Raw genomic sequence first — 19,664 nt, 5'->3', positions numbered from 1 at the left:
TTAAATTTGTAAAATTTTAAACATTTACTATATAAATAAACCTTTTCCATCACTTATTGACCAGAAACCAGCTACAGGTTCTGCCCTTAGAGGAAGGAGAATATACAAGTATGTAGTTCACATACCCTAAGGTTATCTTAGGGTATTTCTTCCAAGGGAGCTTCTGATCTCTACCTGAATACATTTCAATACCTGTGATGACTAATCTCACTTGCCAATAGAATCTTAGCAGCAGGCTGTTTACCAAATGTAACATAGTCTTTTATCTTCATTTGAATAAGACTATGAACACATTATGGTATAGGATTATAATTAAATGATGACATAATTGTGTAAACTCTAAGGAAATATGTATAAAACAAAGAGTTTCCACTAAATGAAAGGATTTGGTTCACCAGTTTCCAATGGGAGACAAGATTTCTCTAACACCAGATTAAAAAAGAAACTCACATGTCATTTTGTTGATAGGCATAAAGTATAGTGTTATTAACATTAATCCTAACTAAAATGTATTGATACTTACTGGACATCTTAGTAAGGTCCACACAAGCTTCATGGCTATAATTGCTGTGTTCTTGCCAAAGGAACATGGCTGAAAGTAGCAAAAACTACATTCAGGCCTGTTCTATAAAAACTTCCCACAGGATCTTGCATCCTCTCTTTTCCCATCTGTTGGCTGAATGCAGAAGACATTCATGCCTCAGAGCAGGGGAGACATACAAGATGGAAGGAATCTGGTCTCTAATTTACAGTATGAAGCCGACTTATCCTTATCTCATTTTATTTTTATAAAAACCCAAAATAGCTTTTCATATTAGGAAATATTAAGAGGTTAGAAAACATGCACATATTTAGGAATATGCTACATCCTAAAAAAGTTTGGAATCAACGTTTCTTTTCTCTGGAGTCTGCATTCAAACGCTATGTGCTATTTCATTTCGCTTTGCTTTGCTGTCATTGTGACAAAGAAATCAAAGGGGTCTTGAATAGAAGTTTATAGAAATAAAAAAAGATGTGATAAGTTTATGAATAGATAAAAATAGACTTTAGAATAGTATATGAATTGAGCTACATAATTGTAAAACAAAGTAGAAACATGCTCAGCTTTTTATTTGCTATTTTAATATTTGGTGAGTGCTGGTTCTATGACAGGCAGTGCCTTAAATTCTGAAAATACAAAAAGGATGCTGTCATTCTATTAGTGAATTTTTTTAAAAAAGCTTAGGAATTTGGATTTTTGAGGTACTTAATTCTGAGATACAACAACAGCTCTTCCACTCACGAATTTTAGAACTTTTGATGAGTTATATGACCTCTGCACATCTGTGGATAAAATATTAGTACTCATCTCATAGAAATATTATAAAGCTTAGATGAGATAATACAGGTTAAGTGTTTAGTGTCCTGCATCTGATATGGTGATCAAATGATGTCAGCTAAAGATGATGATAATAATAATAAATGGAAAATCTAAAATGTATGCTATGTTGTAGAAGCATACAAAGAAAAGATGACTGAATTCACAATGAAGGCCACAAACTGGTGGCCCACATGGGTAAATATCTGGCCCAGAGGTGTGTATTATTGAGCTAACATAATTTCTACATTTATGCAGAGTAAGAATACACTGAATCCTTGGACCACGTAGCATCTAATCTCCACCATCTGCATTCACACTGCTTGTTTTTCTATATTTGCCTAGACCTTTAAGCATTTTGAGTTATAACTCTTAAAATAGAAGCCATTAATGGTTTTTAATGCTGCCTAGACCTCTAGCACAAGAAAACATAAACTTGCTCAGGGGAGGTGTGGCTCCAGTTGAAGAAATCTTATTCTCTGCAAGCATTTGGGGAAGTCTCAGCATCTTATAACATAAGGATACTCTATAGATAAGCAAGAGAATATCATACCGATATCAAAATTAGTCATAGCTAAACATCAAAGGTGACATTAAGTGCACTCATAAAAATATATAATGGTGAAAAAATTAATGTAACCTTCTGATTTTGCAATATCTAGAGAAAACTATCTTTTCTCCCAAAACTGTATTAGGATAGCATAAAGTAGAACAAGTTTAGAGCAACAAAATACATGTGTAACTACTGACATGTATTTAGACAGTGAGAATCCACTCTCTTTTTTGACAAGAATTACATGACCTGTAAGGGACTAAAATGATGTTGACATTCCTCACAGTGTTATGCAACTGACTCAAAGTAAGGACATGGAATATATTGGTTGTCAAAAAGAGCTATGAATCAACTCATCTCTCTTACCTATTTAAGATCTCACACATATTTGTCTAAGGCGTATTTTTGTACTGCTAGTAATAATATGTTCATTTGGTTTATAAAATGGCAAAGCTACAGTCCTTTAAAATACTGGAGCTTAATGGTAGAACATTTTATATGATGTTTACAACTTGAATTTCCCACATGAAAAATTAGAAATAAATAACATTAAAAATTGTATAACTTTGAAATTGCAATGTTGATATGTTAGTTGTTCTAGTAAGACTTACAAGAACTGTGAACTGGTATGAAAAGTAGGCAGAGATTTGCCTTACTAGAATTTTGGGAGTTAGTATAACAGAATTATCTAGAAATGTGAATTGAAACGGAACTACTCATTAGCTGTCCCAAATACTTTAGCCCCAATAATGTAAATATAGCATTGTCTAATAACAGATTGAGCAAAGCTACTAATGCCTTATATAAAATAACTTTGTAGTTGAAAAAATGGATGATCTCATTTAATCCTCACAGCTTCTTCCAAGAACAAGAAGTCATAAAGTGACATTGGAAGTTTTTTTGAGGCATTTTTGTGTAGAATTATTATTCAAATCAGTACAAATAAGTATGTTACAAAAGAAGATTTTTATTTTCTTGATAGAGAAAATAAAAACCAACTCATTGTATATAATGCTTATACTTAAAAGATGCCTATTATGTTCATTTTAGGGGATCATTTTATCGGGTGAAATTATAAGATGCTCAAAATTAGCCATTCGTTCTCAGGGTGGGTACAATGAAATTAACACCAAGTTGTCTTGAAAACTGTGTACCAAATCTGTTTGGGTAAATTATTACATGATAGGGAAAAGTACCTGAGATACATTATATTATTTGAAACTCAGATTATTTTTTTGAAAACAGGCATGATGATTAATGTGTTTACTCCTTAAACATAGGATGATAATGCTGAGTTTTAATGCATGTGCTTAATTAATAAATTAATTGACGTCCTGCATATCTTCAGAAACTAAGAAGGCATTCTAGTGTGCATATGGCACAGTACAATAAATTAAACCAAAATTATTTTATTTTGTTTTATTTTCTCCATACATTGCCTTCATAATGGCTCTGTCACTTCTACTTATTTTGTCCCTTAATGATGTTATGGTCATATTTCATAAGTGGCTGTCCGCTTTCAGTTATACAATCTTTCATTTTAAAGTCCAGTAGAAAATATCAAGCTCAAAAATCAAATAAGTCTATTTTTCCTTAGCCCATCCTTGCTCCTCTGGTTTCTTCTTCTCTTTTCCCTTTCACATTCCCCACACTTGCAGTGCAGACATGAGCTGGGACCCTCATTCCCTGGCTGAATGGGGAGTTGTATGGTCTTTTATGCTATTTTTTGAACTCTGTAAACTCCAGGATTGAGCACTGGGGAGGAATGCCCATGAACATACGTTTCATTTTATAGAAATGAGTTCCTTCTTATATTGAGGGATGTCCCTAAGGTTTTTATGGTTCAGTCTCTTTCCATGTGAGGAATCTGAGGAGTTGGTGGTCTCAACTCATTTGATATACATATTTTCCACAAAGTGGTACGTTTGAGTCTGAGTCAAACTATAATTTGTTTTTAAATCAATGCACTATACATAGGTGACAAAGCCCTAGAATAAAATACAGTAAATTCAATTTTAAGCGTATGTTTCGTGGTGTATTCTAGTATGCATCTCTCTGAGGACCTGGAGAATGACAGATTTTTATAGTATATCTCTTGTTAGTGATTTTCTGAGTGTAAGGTTATTAATTATAATGGCTTCTCTAGTTTGTTCCACTTGGATCAGTACCCACTCCATCTGAAATAAAGCTGAAGAGCTGGATCCCCACAGAGATAGGGGGTGGTGGTGAAATTGGGAGAGGGATAGAGGAAACTTTGCAGGTAATCATTCATTATTATATTTATTCCTCTAACACATACTAATATTATTCCATTTCACTTGAAATGTAGTAATTTATATATAGGTCTATTAGTCCATTCTCACCCTGGTGTAAAGAACTGCTGAGACTGGGTAATGTATAAAAGAAAGAGGTTTAATTGACTCACAGTTCCACATTCTTACAATCATGGCAGAGGGGGAAGCAAACACGTCCTTCTTCATGTGATGGCAGGAAGGAGAAGTGCTGAGCAAAGTGGGCAAGGCCCCTTATAAAACCATCAGATCTCCTGAGAACTCACTCACTAGAACAGAAGCATGGGGGTAAGCACCTCCATGATTCAATTACCTCCCACAGGGTCCCTCCCACAACATGTAGGGATTATGGGAACTACAACTCAAGATGTGATTTGGGTGGGCAAACAGCCAAACCATATCAATAGGTCACATAATTATAATAATATGGAATGCCAAAATGTGTATTTAGAAACACTGATTTTTTGCAATCAGTAAATTTGTGTTGGCTGTATTATTATATGCATATCTTATTATACATATTATGCATATATATTATATAAATATATAAATATATATATTTAGAGTCTGATATTCTAAAATAAGACCCTTTCCAATAAAATTACATCAATCAAGCAATATGTCATTCATAAAATCAGCAAGTAAGTCACCATTGAATAGCCTATATTCCAAGTTTTTGCTTTACATAAAAGCTTTGAAGTATGTAGCAAATGCCACTTTTTCTGATGCTTATAAGATGTAAAAATATAGATGGGTAAATAGATATTGATGTAAATATAAAATATTTCTATTTTGCTTTATTGTGTGTTCTTTAGCTTCTATTTATTTTATATCTGTATATCTAATTCCATTTGATTCAATATAAACTTTATGTCAGTTATATTCCTGCCAGGGTCAGATTATGAAGGTAAGATTTAGTTCCTCCTAAAGGGTCCCACATAATGCTTTTTTAATTGTCAAATAAGTGATGAGTAAAATAAAATCTGATATTTTCTGTTATCAATTTTAGTAGTCTGTAGAATTATTAAATGTCATATTATATTACAGAAATATTTTCTTTGCAGGAGGTGAGTGGGTGTTGGCTAAGAGTGCATTATTTATTCATTTATTTTTGAGATGGAGTCTTGCTCTGTTGCCCAGGCTGGAGTGCAGTGGCGCAATCTCAGCTCACTGCAACCTCCACCTCCTGGGTTCAAGCAATTCTCTGCCTCATCCTCCCGAGTAGCTGGGATTACAGGTGCCCACCACCACACCTGGTTAATTTTTGTATTTTTAGTAGAGACCAGGTTTCAGCATCTTGGCCAGTCTGGTCTTGAACTCCTGACCTTGTGATCCGCCTGCTTCGGCCTCCCAAAGTGCTGGGATTACAGGTGTGAGCCACCACGCCCAGCCAAGAGTGCATTTTTTTAATGCCCTAACTGTATGCTCGAATTGCCTATTGAGTGGAATGACTATATTGCCCAAACCCAGTTACTTTCAAGAGCGGAAAGAGGAGATATTAATCATTGTGCCAGGTTGATAGAGACAAAATGAGACTGTTCTGGATGAACTGAGATGTGAGTGACCTACTGAGAAATCTTGCCCCAGAATAGGGATTTCTTTTTCTGCACCTTTCCCTGGCACTTTAATTAAACTGCCCTACTTACTTCGTACCAGATAGGTTCGCCACGCCTTCTTGCTTTCTTCATCTTGTCTTTGCACCTGCAGTGTTCTCTTCCTTCTTTATCTGACAAAACCCAGCTGCATGTAAAGTTGTAAAAACTTCTTCAGAATTCCTTCCTTGATGCTTCACTTTCTTGTGCCTCTGAGCAAAAGACTGCCTTTCTTCTGCATTGAGGCTGAATGGAAAAGTCACTAAAAGCCTGCTGAGTTTTCCTAGATGCTGGGTTCTGTAAGGACACATTTTCTTCTTGACAGGATAATAATTTGATTATACTGATTATGTGTTCTTCATGCACAATCCCCATTCCAGACTGATTGCTCTCAGAGTTTTATTATAGAAACGCCTCAAGGCATGCTTCATTTTGTAGCGAGAAAATGCTTCATGTGTTTTAAGAGACTTGGTTTCTGTTTTCAGAAGCAATATTGGTGACCTCTAATCCACAAGTTTATGCCTTAAACAATGAGCAGGGCTTTTGTTGTTGTTGTTTTTCTTTCCCTACGTATCCAGATTTGACAAAAATATCGCTGGCTGAGGATAGGAGGAGAATATAAGTGGAGGCATCGTGTTAGATACTGGTGGGAATTTGAAAAATGCTCCTGATCCCTGAATCAGGTCTAGACAATACAGCTAAGGAATCAAATACATTTAATAGTCAAAAGCAGAGAGAACATAATGTACTCCCTAGTTAGAACCTGGGGAAACAAGTTCTGTCCATGAAACACCACCATACCCTAGCAGCAAGAGAAAATAAATGGCAGTATTACATAAACAACAAAGAGGATTGGAGGGAACCGCCCTCTTCCCCAGTCTCTTGCAGCTCAAGAGAGCTGGTAGAGATTAACTGAATTTCCCAAACCCCTGAAAGGGGCAAAGAAGTAGCCCAGAGATGCTAATGAGCATTAAGCACCTGGGTGGTCCTGGGTGCTAGGACTGAGTTGCCATGTGGGATTCTCAGTGGGAACAAGCAGGGATGGTTGTCTCTGTAGGGGAGAGATGACTTCCTGGGTACTGACACTCTTGGTACTCCTCCACCGCCCCCACCTGTCACAGCTAGAAGAGTAAAATACTGAAATGACTATTTAAATTTGCCCGGATAGAATTTACCAGCATTTGAATAATTCAATATTGAAATAGAGATTGAGGTTTTTTTTAAGTAACAAAACTATATTTTTTGTGCATCTTGTTGTAAAATGTACATCAAGCAGCTTTTCAAGTTGAAAGAGAAAGGAAGGATCAAGAACTCACAAAATTGAGGTACTTATAATTTGCCAGGTCTCATGCTTGGTATTTGACATCTATTATCTCATTTATTCTTCCAAATAACTCATTTATTTACAGTATTATTCAGAGTTCCCACAGCAAGTGTGGCTTTATTTAAGGGCTTGCATGCAGACGGTTTATTTTGTAAAGCGAAATCATCCTCAGGAACTTGGGAGGGCCCTAGGAAGAATGACCTAGGGCAGAAAGAAAGACAAGTAAAAAGGTGTCTGTGCATCTGGTCATTGTGGGCAGCAGAGGTTTCACCCATTGAGGAGCTAGGTGATTGTGGAGGAAATTCTTCAGACTTGTCTGTCCAGGGACCCAAAGAAGGAAGTATTTCCCATCAGTTAATGTTTCCTCATTGGTCGTTGGTTGTGCAGTCCCTTGCACATCCAAATTTGTGCATGTATCAGAATCACTGAGCTGGTTCCCATAGGGTCACATGTAAGAGTGGCAAAAAATTCGTTAGCTAGAAAATCAGATATATGCTGGGCATTGAAAGAAAGATGCTGCTTGGATTACATTTGACCACAACTGGTTGCCTTACAGGAGCCAGAATAAAATTAGGCCAAGAGGATGTGAGGTGTGGCATAAAAGTCCCAAGATCCAGGCCAAGATTTGCACATGTGTGACCAGGATGATCGCATGGGATTCTGTGATCAGAAGGGTTCTGCAACTGAGGTTTAATGCTCTGTGAAAAGTCTTATGAGTGTTATCTTTGAGTTTGTGTTGTTGTTTTTTTAAATTATTATTATACTTTAAGTTTTAGGGTACATGTGCACAATGTGCAGGTTAGTTACATATGTATACATGTGCCATGATGGTGTGCTGCACCCATTAACTCCTCATGTAGCATTAGGTGTATCTCCTAATGCTATCCCTCCCCCCTCCCCCCACCACACAACAGTCCCCAGAGTGTGATGTTCCCCTTCCTGTGTCCATGTGTTCTCATTGTTCAATTCCCACCTATGAGTGAGAACATGTGGCGTTTGGTTTTTTGTCCTTGTGATAGTTTACTGAGAATGATGATTTCCAATTTCATCCATGTCCCTACAAAGGACATGAACTCATCATTTTTTATGGCTGCATAGTATTCCATGGTGTATATGTGCCACATTTTCTTAATCCAGTCTATCATTGTTGGACATTTGGGTTGGTTCCAAGTCTTTGCTGTTGTGAATAGTGCCGCAATAAACATACGTGTGCATGTGTCTTTATAGCAGCATGATTTATAGTCCTTTGGGTATATACCCAGTAATGGGATGGCTGGGTCAAATGGTATTTCTAGTTCTAGATCCCTGAGGAATCACCACACTGACTTCCACAATGGTTGAACTAGTTTACAGTCCCACCAACAGTGTAAAAGTGTTCCTATTTCTCCACATCGAGTTTGTGTTTTATAAGTGAAGTCAGATGGGGTAATGGAGCCCGCACTGGGATTTGGATCATCTCCTCACAGTGAGTCTCACCTCTCACAGCCTCCCTATGTTGTTCTTGCCTGGGTTGGTGGCTGCCCAGTCTCTTTTCTCTGGTGACCTGATTATTAGGCTTTATGCCTCCCTTCTGCATCCTGGGGCCACTGCCACCTGCTGCCAGGGGCAATAACCAGGTTGCATTGGTGGATAGAGAAGGGAGGATCATGTTCTATTATTGCAGTTTCTCTTAGTGGGGGCTGAGCATGGGCACAAGAAAGTTCAGGGTCAAGCCCAATTAACGGTGTCATGGGGAGGAGGATGAGGCAATGACTGTCCTCTCCCCTGTGTCAGCACCATGGGGAATTTGACAGGAGGCTTAATGAGATCCTCAGAATACTGACAATCTAGATATTAAGTACAGCTCAGTGTGGAAGAGATTGCCAGTATTTGGGATTCACTCACCTGTAGTGTGTTGGGTCAATAGGAAAGGGACACTGACTTCCCCACTGCGTTAACCTTGTTTTCTAGTTTGTGTATCTGATATTTTGACATCACGGACATTGTTGGCTAGAAAGGGATAGCCCCTCCCAGGGTTAATGGATTCTAGAGAAAGCAAAATACTCTCTGCCTCTTATACTTAAACTAACCAATTCCCCAACCCACATAGTTTATCCCGCTCTCACACTGGGTAACACCAGTTTCTCTTTCCCTACCTTAATTATCTCAGGGCCAGGCATAAGACAACCAGGGACAACCCCTATTCCCTGGAGCCCACTAAATTTATTCAAATTAGTCAATCCTAAATCTGTTTCTCCTGCTTACCCTGTTCTCCCATTTTTTCCCCCGTTAAAAAAACCACAGTACAATCTTTCCTACAGTTTTTCTTGCTTTCTCTCTGCCTGTGACCAACCAACCCTGGTGTTCTCTCATGTGACCTTGCCAGGGCTGGCCTGGCATACCCCCTTCTCCTGGCAACTATGCATAATAAACTGTCTTTTCAGGGTCAGGTGTCTCCTCGTCTATTGATCTCACCATACCTGATTTAAAAAATAAAATCCCACTGGCTGGAGCCAGTTTGTGTTTTTATTTTGGACTACGACCTGTGGTTAGTAGCAAATTCTTCATTCAGGAAACATGAATATAGATAGGCTTAAGTTTCTTGCTTAAAGTCACCTCTATTAAGTGACAGGACTCACACTCTGTCTAACCCTGAGGTTTTGTTGTGCTTATACCATTTTGCCTGCAGTACTGAGGTATGTTTACCCAAGAAGAAGTTAAATAATGTAAGCTGTTCACAATTAGGTGAGAATCCTCCTATTTCATAAATGACCTTCAGTAAAATGTAACATTACGATTTTACCTCTGGTGGGATAGTATATTACCTTGTTCTGGTGGCTTTGAATCGTATGTTTGTACTAACAGAAGACCGCTGCTCAACTTGACATACATCACAGCTTTTGAGGGATTGAATGAACAGGAACAGTTGATACAGTTTCCTAATTTTATAGACACAAAGGTGTGTTTTTGAGATAATAAAATATAGTGCAAAAGAATTGTGAGATACCTGACAGAACACTTTCCTCAGTGCTACAAACATATAAAAACATTTCAAACAAAGGAATTGATCATTAATTAGATTATTTTGAATGTTCTGTAATGTATTTGTTTCATATCAAATGTATAGTAATAATTTACTCTCAACTTATTAGATTAATACCAACATTTGAAATAGTGACTGCTCTCCTCCATGGGCATGTTCTTCATTGCTCTGTTGGGCTACCCTGATATACATATTTCTACTGATCACATGGGCTTCTCTTCATTTTCCACCTATGTCGAATTCATTGATAATGTATTATCCAGCTTCAAAGATTCAAATATCATCTTCCTTCTGGTAATGCACCAATGTATCATTCCAGCCAGAACTGTTTCTGAACCCTTAGTTCTAAATGGGATTTCTACTCACTCATCATTTCAATACCCAGTCAAATAGCACAATTTTTGCATGTAGAATATTGAACTCTTCATGTTTCCTCCCACCCACTATAAAGAAAACCTTCACTTTCAGAAATTTTCCACAACTTAATAATTGGAAGCACAATTTTTTCAGTTGTTCACCTCACAATTATTGGAGCCATCTTTGAATCATCTTCTTTTTTCACTCCCCATATTGGATTTACTAATAAGCTCTCTTAGTTTGACCTTTAGAATATATATAGAATCTGACCCTTCTCATTATCTCAAGTCCAAGGTACCACTCTCTCTACTCTGTCAATTGTTTCCCACATTTCTGCCTTTGTCCCTCTTTATTCTCAACAAAAATCCAAAGACTTCCTAAGGAAAAGCAAATGATGTCATCTCCCTGCTTCAGATCCATCCCACACAAAACCAAAGCAAAGTTCACATTGGGATCCTTCTCTGTTTGCCCCTTCTTACCTCTGGACTTTGTCTTCTTACACAGCCCCCTCTGGTATACCCAGCCTAGCCTCCTCCCGGCTCCTGGGTACACCACTTGGGGCTTTTGCCTGTTCCTGTCCTCAGCCTGGTTCTCTGTCCCCAGATATAAAAAAAAACCCATCTGTACCTCTTACAGCACCTAAATTGATGCCAAAGGAAAAATTAAAGTCCAATAGTTAATTTATATAAATATTCTCTCTGTCCAATGGGAGGCAATTACTACTACTGAATATGCAAGTTTGTACAGAAATGCATGAGGCACTGAGACCTTCACTTGCTAATAATCTAGGTCCTCAATGGGAACACTTAATAACGTTCTGTAAGATAGTATACTTTGTTTCTGTTAAAAATGATGAAATAATGATTTTCTTTATTATTTTAGTTATCTCAACTCATGCATTCATGAGATATAGAATAAAATCTTAGTCCTACATTCAGATGGAATGAACTTTTGGTTTTCATCAAAATTTACTAGACAAACTTAGAGGTATTTAGAGAGACAATTATGAGTGAAAAAGAAACAAGTAATTTAGGAAACAATTTCTTCTTTTAAATTGTATGCTAAGTATAATAAAAGATGTTCAGAAGAATATTTTCGGTTATGTGTATTTAGGTTCACTTTTTTTCAGTATCTCTTTCCGCAAGAATCATGTTTAATGGTAATTATCATTATTAAGAAGTTAATTTATTTATAAATTATAGTGGGATGTTTAAGTAACTTAAGCTAATGTAACACTAATACTGAAAAATATTGGTCTAAGTCTTTGAAAAAACTTTCAACTTAAAAATTCATGTACAGAACCTTGAAGCATAAATATACTATGTACCTTAAAGTATATTATATATTTGAGGGACAAGTCAGACCAATATAAAAATGGTATTTTTTTAAAAAGTAAATGATATGAACTAAAATAAAACTATCTGCAAGTATATGGAAATTCCCAAAAAGTGCCATAATAGGAAAAAAAAAAAAGAAGAAGAAGAAAAGAAGGCAATGAGAAAAAATAAGGGAAGATTATTTAGAAGTGATGAGTTTGAGATAAACTTGGAAGGATTTGGAGATGTAGAATGAAAATAAGAAAAGGATAAAACATAAGCAAATATGTGATCATCAAAGTGATCACAGCTCATATTAGCAACACTGGATGCAATGGACAGAGCAAAGGGTCTGGTTGAGGAATATTAAAAAATAAGGCTATTCACTGTTTAGTCATATTCTGAGGGTTCTCAATTCCAGGAAAAAATGAATTTAAATTGCCAATGGTTGGAATCACTTAAAATTATTCAATGGATGACCATAAACAGATTGCTATAAAGTTCCAGTTAGGAGTAAAATGTGAGAAATGCCTAATCGGATACATTTATTCTTAAGAATACTCTTAAACACACACACACACACACACACACACACACACACCCAAAGCAAACAAGTAAATTAATAAGACAGAAAGAAACCTTAGGAGGTGATGGATATGTTTATGGTGTGACAAAGAGTCAAACACTGTAAAGTATTTGAAGAGGTTTATTCTGGACCAAATGTGAATGACCAATGGCCCAAGACACAGTCTCAGGGCATCCTGAGAACATGTGCCCAAGGTGGTTGGGCTACAGCATGGTTTTATACATTTTAGGGAAACATGGACATTTATCAATATGTTTAAGATGTATATTGGTTTGGTCCAGAAAGGCAGGACAACTGGAAATGGGGGGCTTCCTGGTCCTAAGCAGATTTAAAGATTTTGATTGGCAATTGTTTGAAAGAGTTATTATGTGAAGACCTGGAATCAATAGAAAGAAATGTCTGGGTTAGGATAATGAGTTGTGGATACAGGTTTCATAGGCTTCAGAGCTCTTATCAGACCTAAAAAGTTGCTGGACCTAGTTAATTCTCTCCTAGATCAGGAAAAAGACCTGGAAAGGGAAGGAGATTCTCTACAGAATGTGAATTTTCCCCACAAGAGACAGCTTTTCAGGGTTATTTCAGAATATGTCATAGAAATATATTTGGGGGTGAAATACTTTGATTCCTTTCAGGGCCTGGTATTTGTCATCTGATGCTATACTAGGGTCAGCTGGAATTTGGTGTTTTATTGCTACCAAAAGTCTGTTTTGTCAGTCTTAAGATCTCTATTTTAATATTAATGCTACCCAACTGTGCCTGAATTCCAAAGGGAGGAGAGTATAATGAGGCACGTCCCACCCCTACTTCCCATCATGGCCTGAACTAGTTTTTCAGGTTAACTTTGGAATGCCCTTGGCTGAGGTGAGCATCCATCGGTCAGTTGTGGGGCTTAAAATTTTATTTGTGGTTTACAATGGCGTTGATTTTGGTGATGGTTTTTTTGGGTATATACTTTTCTGTAAACTCATCAAATTGTACACATTAAATACAAGCCACTTTTTATACATAATTAATATCTCAATAAAATAGTTTTTTTTTCATTTTTCATGCTCAGTTTAAATTTAGCTGTACACATTACATTTTATCAGGCAACCCTAGTTGTATGCTCATTGTGCTTTAATAGGTCTAATATATTGTATACTTTTTGAAGTAGCATTAATAGAAAAAAGTAATATCTAACAAATGAGTTTTTCTGCATTTTGTGATATTGCAATAATCTTTTGCTTTAATATTTGCACTGTTTGTCTTTAATAATTTCATTTTAGATCAAATAAATGAGTTCTAGTGCAAGAACATTTTCCAGTTTGGTAAGAACCATGGATTGATATAGTATAACTTAAAACAGGACCAATTAATTTTGAAATGTTCATCAAACTTTATCTTCACTTTCTCACAGCATAGACTTTACTAATTGTATAAATCTGCTTAGTTCTGATAACCAGAGATTCCTAATACAATACCCATGAGGAAAAAAACTAAAACATAATTTCTGAGTTCGTTTATATGCTCCTGATCTGCAATTATATTGGCGCTATCAAGCCACAACTTGATTTATTATTTAATTTATCAAAAAGTCCCTAAAATAGTTTATGACAAACCTAGACATCCCTTTGCAGGTCTTTTTCCTGATCTGGGAGAGAATAACTGGGTCCAGCAACTTTTTAGGTCTGATAAGAGCTCTGAAGGCTGTGAAACCTGTATCCCCAACTCATTATCTTAACCCAGACATTTCTTTCTATTGATTCCAGGTCTTTAAATAATAACTCTTTCAAACAATTGTGAATTAAAATCTTTAAATCTGCTTAGGACCTGGAAGCCCCCATTTCCAGTTGTCCTGCCTTTCTGGACCAAACCAATATACATCTTAAATGTACTGATAAATGTCCATGCTTCCCTAAAATGTACTTTGCTTTGAGTTAACATTATCATATATCGGCAATGAATAAGCCAGGAGAATTCTGCAGTGATAATGTGAACTTGCTGCAGATTTTGAATTCTCACAAACAAGGAAATCAAGTGACTATTATACTAACCTAAATATCATACCACTTAATATTAGATAGATTTTTAGGTATTTGTCAATTTATGCTCTTTAAATAAATTGGTCAAGATTTTAAAAATAATTTCTGACTTGAAAGTGGTTTTCTTTAACAGAGAAAATAACATTTTTCATGTAGAATTTTTATTTCCCTAATCTAACTGAGGTATAAAATGTAGCACTGAGTCTGAATTTCTTAAGTTTGCTTAAGAGACACTTAGAGGAATTTGGAAATTGCCTTATTAACATATATTCTGTTGTTGATACCTTAGTTAAGCTGGTCAGATATTCAGTTTATATACTTATTTATCATAAAGAAAGTCATGATTCACAATGCAGTGTTATTTAAAAACCTGATCCTGAATGCTACTTCCCTACTAGTCTGATTTATATTTTTTTGTTAACATTCTACCAAGCAAGACATATATATGACTGTTTCTGAGTATGTCTGTGTTATGTCTGTGTCTCAACTACTGTACTATGTGTGTTAAAGGCATTATTTTTTAAATGATTATAACATCCAGTCTGTGTCAGCTATTTATCATCATTTATACTGAAGAAGTTAAGATGCAAATAAGTCAATTTACTAGCCTATGGTCACGTCTCTTGTAAGTGGTAAATTGGCCTCACACACACAAAATCACACTGTTTAAATTGTATGCTTTCCAGTTGTGACTAGTGACAGAAATCATTGCTTCAACTTTTTTTTTTTTTTTTAGTATTCGTTTATTATTTTAGAGACAGGGTCTCTGTCTGATGCCCAAGCTGGAGTGCAATGGCACAATCATGGCTCACTGCAGCCTCAAAGTCCTGGGCTCAAGTGATCCTCCTGCCTCAGCCTTGGTCCCAAGTGGCTGGATTGCAGGCATGCACCACCACACCTCACTAATTTTCTTTTCAAGTTTTTGTGGAGATGGGATCTCACTATGTTGCCCTGGCTTGTCTCAAACTCCTGGCCTCAAGTGATCCTTCTGCCTCAGCCTTCCAAAGTGTTGGGATTACAATCGTGAGTGATCTTGCCCAACCTGCCTCAAGTTTCTAATTTGGAACTATTTTATTACTTTTAGAAAGAAAAAAAAATCGAGTCAGTGAGTGTGTTCATTTGCTAGGGCTGCCATAACAAATACCAAAGAGTGGGTGGCCGAAACAACAGAAATTTATTTTCTCGCAGTGCTTGAAGCTGGAAGTCCAAGATCAAGGTCCCGAAGAAGTTTTCTCCCGAAATTTCTCTACTTGGCTTGCAGATTTTTATTTTTTTTTTTGCTGCCTCTTTACATAGAAAAACAAATACCTTCTTTTTATAACACTCATCAGATTGAAGTAGGGCTCATGCTAGCAGCCTCATTTTAACTTGATAACCTCTTTGAAGACTTTATTTTTAAACCCGTTCACATTCGGAGGTACTGGAGATTTAGACTTCAACATATAACAGTGATACTTTACAAATCTTTTTATCCATTACTGCAACATTGAAGCCAGAGTAAGTCAAGGATATCTAATATTGGAAAGATGTGTAATCCATCATCATTAGAAATTAGAATGCAAATTTGTACATCTGCCCAGTCTTTTATATTCTCTTGATGGAATATTGCTCATAATTTTTCATCAAAACAGGTAGGGTACACTGTCATCTTGGGTGTATAAAATTTTAGGGCAGTACATTATAAACATTAGTACCATAATCAACTGTAGAACTTGGAAAAACACAGACACCTAGCCCTATCTTCAAAGTTTTAGTAGGTCTTGAATCGAGCCTGGGAATTTGCATTTCCAATCAGCTCTCAGCTGAAGCTGATGCTGCTTGCCAAAATGTAAGTAGCACAGTTCCAAAGCATGCACGCTGACTCAAGTTACTTTTTATTGCTCTTTCTTTTGAGAAATGTGATGATTTCACTTAACGTGTTTATTGAAACAAAGTAGAAGCTCTAGATAATTATTAGGAGAAGTCTTTTGCTGTGAGCATTCCCTTGGCTTTAACTAACCACATGGAATTTCTCTCAATAGAGAAAATAATAACTGTCTTTTCTGCCATTTTCTTCCAAATCCTTCCCTTTTTCTAAAAACCACCTTGAAAATATCTTAAATGAGTTATTTTGAAAAAGATAGTCTTTTTCCCTTTGTTTCAAGTCTGACTTTCCAAATATAGTAACTTCTTAATCTACATAATAGTTGATAAGCTCTTATTTGTTTTAGTGGCATTAAATCAACATGCAATTTTATCTGTTGTAGCTAAAAAGGGTAATAATTATTAAACCATTACTACTGGAAAACATATTGCATTTTGAGGATCAAGCACAGCTGGGAGCTTCTCACCACCTCAAGCACCAGCTGCTCCATTTTCTGTCATTTGTTCAGAATTATTTACACACATGGATGAGTGAGCAGAGGGATGGGGAGGTGCCAAACAGTCTTTTTATTCCAAATTTGTTGATTTTTTATAGATAATAAAAATGTATTGCTTAAAACAAGAAAAAAAATAAAATAAAATGTACACAGAGAAAAGGCTCCTTCCTATCCAATGCACTCTCCCTGATTTTCATCCACCCCCAAATCAAAGATACTATAAATTTATCATATATTCTTTTGAAAATGGTTATGCATAAAGAAGGAGATATAAATGGCTATTTTATCTCATTTAAAAATAGTAGCCCACTAGATGGGCCTTGCAGTCTTTCCCAGCTCTGAAAGTCTGTGAATCATTGGTACCCGAAAGGTGATTCATTTTAAATCATCTTCTTATAAACACATAGGAAACAGAAGAGCAGGGGAACAAGATGAAAGAGAGATAAGAAATAAAGTTCGGGGAACAATGCAGAGATTCAATGAATGGTACGTTCAGTCCTAGGACACACCTAGTCAATATCGGTTATTACTTAGCCATAAAAAAGAATGAAATCTTGTCATTTGCAACAGCATGAGTGGGACTGGAGGACCTGGAGGACATTATGTTAGTTGTAATAGCCAGGCATAGACAGACAAATATTCATGTTCTCATTTATTTAGGGAACTAGAAAAAAAAAAACAAAACTGAACTCATGGAGATAGGGAGTAGCATGATGGTTATCAGAGGCTGGAAAGGATAGTGGGGGGAGGGGGATAAAGGGGGAATGGTTAATGGATACAAAAATACAGTTAGATAGAATGAATACGATCTAGTATTAAGTAGCACATTAGGGTGCTAAAAAAATTAAAAAGTTAAAATAAATAAATAAAAATAGTAGCCTACTATACACTCCTAGGAAACTTGTTATCTTTAAACAATGTCTTGGAGCTCATTCCATATTCATAAGGAGCTGCCTAGTATTCTATTACATGGACCCACTGTAATCCTTTTTACTAGTCGTCTGTAAATGTTAACAGGTGAACTTTTATGGTACCATAACATTTCCATTTTACATAGTGCTAAGTATTACATTAATAGCTACATATGTCATTTTCCATGAGTATGATTAAATATTATAAAAATTGTTCTTCATGAGACATGAAAAGAACATGCTGACCACCTTTTATTCTTGTTTTCTACTGAAATTATATATTTTAGCAATCTGTAGATCAGATTCCTAGAAGTAGAATTTATTAGTCATCAAATATAAAGTTTGAAATTTTGATAGAAATAGACAGATTTCCCTCAAAATGATTGGCCTGTTGTATATAACTATAAGCCCCGTGTAAGGGTTCACACCTCTGGTCACAGTCTTGCCAAATCAGATATCAGACCTTTAGATTTTTTATAATCTGTTGAGTGAGAAATGGAATGCCAAAATTATCCTAACATCCATGTCTCATGAGTAAGGTTGATGGTATTCATGAATATGTTTAAAAGCCCTTCCAAAATTATCCTAATGTCCATGTCTCATGAGTAAAGTTGATGGTATTTGTGATATGTTTAAAAGCCCTGCATGTCTTCTCTGTGAGTTGTTGGGTGGACACTGCCAGATTTTGTAGGGTGGCATTCTTCAGCACTTTGCCTACTTTGCTTATCACATTTGTGCCACGTAGACATTTTCCGTTTTTATGAAGTGGTTTTTAACAATCTTTTCTTTTATGATTTCATAGGCTAAAAAAGGAGTTCTCCCACGATCCACCCTCATATATTTATAGTTGTCCAGATCAGTTGGTTTACACAATGTAAGCATTTTCTGTCTTGTCAGAGAGAGATTGCTTTCAGTGAAGCTGCTGTGTTTGTGTTATTGTGGGTGCAATCTTGCCTCCTCTGGTGAACGATACTAGCTAGGTCCAGAAAGGTTTGCAGCAAAACTTATATCTCCTCCACTCACCTAATTTCCAACTGCACACAGGTTTCAGACCTGAGCATGCACTCTCACCTTTAGAAAGTGTATTTTTGCTGTGATTTACTCCTAATAACTTCAGTTGCTTCTGAAGTCCCTTTCAGTGGTTTCTTGCCCTCATTTTGTTCCATGTGGCACAATAAAAACTACTGTGGTTAATTTCTGTAGCTTTTGGAAGCCCTTACATGTAACTTAGATTGTAAGAATACGTCTCATTATGGACTGAGTGTTTGTGTTTTCCACAAATGTATATGCCCAAGGCTGAACCCCCAGGGTGGCTGTACTTGGAATGGGGGCCTCTAAGCAAGTAATTATGGTTAAATGAAGTCATAAGATCAGTCTGCTCTAATAGCATTGGTGTCCTTAATAGAGATACAGCAGAGAGCTTCCTCTGTCTCTGCCCGAGAACATACATTGAGGAAAGGCCATGTGGGGCATAGGGAACAAGTGGCCATCTGCAAGCAAGGAAGAGAGACCTTATCAGAAATCAAGTCAGCCAGAACCTTGATATGGGACTTTTAGTCTCCAGAACAGTGAGAAAATACATTTCTGTTATTTAAGCCACCTACACTATGGTGTTTTGTTATGACATCCCCAAAAGACTAATGCACATGCCTCTCACAGTTTTACTGGAGGAGGCATTGCAAGTATTTTTTTTATTCTTTATTTTTCACAATCTTGTACTCATTGCTTTTTAGTAAAATTCAGTGGGATATGGAAGTAATGCTGATGTACACATCCAATTTCATACCAGATGTTTCTGGGATAATTCCATTTATAAGTGCAGTTTTCAATACTCCTGAAGGCCACCGGTTGCTCTGGATTATATAGGAAGAATACATGTGTTCTGTTTGGCCAAATGGATTCCTAGAAACCAGTATTCGAATTCTCACTTTTAAAAATCAGTTATTGGAGGATGTGTAGGTAGAGTATGGGTTT

General features: G+C 36.4%; 1 protein-coding gene across 20 annotated transcripts in view, besides 1 other annotated feature; it reads left to right on the top strand.

The window, feature by feature from the left end:
• CDH18 (cadherin 18) overlaps positions 1-19,664 on the top strand; it is a 1,104,418-nt gene that overhangs the window by 703,311 nt on the left and 381,443 nt on the right. The gene's annotated exons all lie outside the window — the stretch shown is intronic.
• Positions 12,862-13,443: an enhancer, noted in NCBI's record as "OCT4-NANOG hESC enhancer chr5:19859069-19859650 (GRCh37/hg19 assembly coordinates)". NCBI's record gives its function as "activates a minimal SCP1, AML or CMV promoter by ChIP-STARR-seq in primed H9 embryonic stem cells {active_cell/tissue: H9 hESC(primed)}" and the evidence as "EXISTENCE:reporter gene assay evidence [ECO:0000049][PMID:30033119]".

This window comes from Homo sapiens, chromosome 5 (assembly GCF_000001405.40).
Source record: "Homo sapiens chromosome 5, GRCh38.p14 Primary Assembly".
In the NCBI taxonomy this organism is placed as follows: domain Eukaryota; kingdom Metazoa; phylum Chordata; class Mammalia; order Primates; family Hominidae; genus Homo; species Homo sapiens.
The sequence above is the reverse complement of the archived record's forward strand: the minus strand, read 5'-3'. Positions and strand labels throughout refer to the sequence as shown.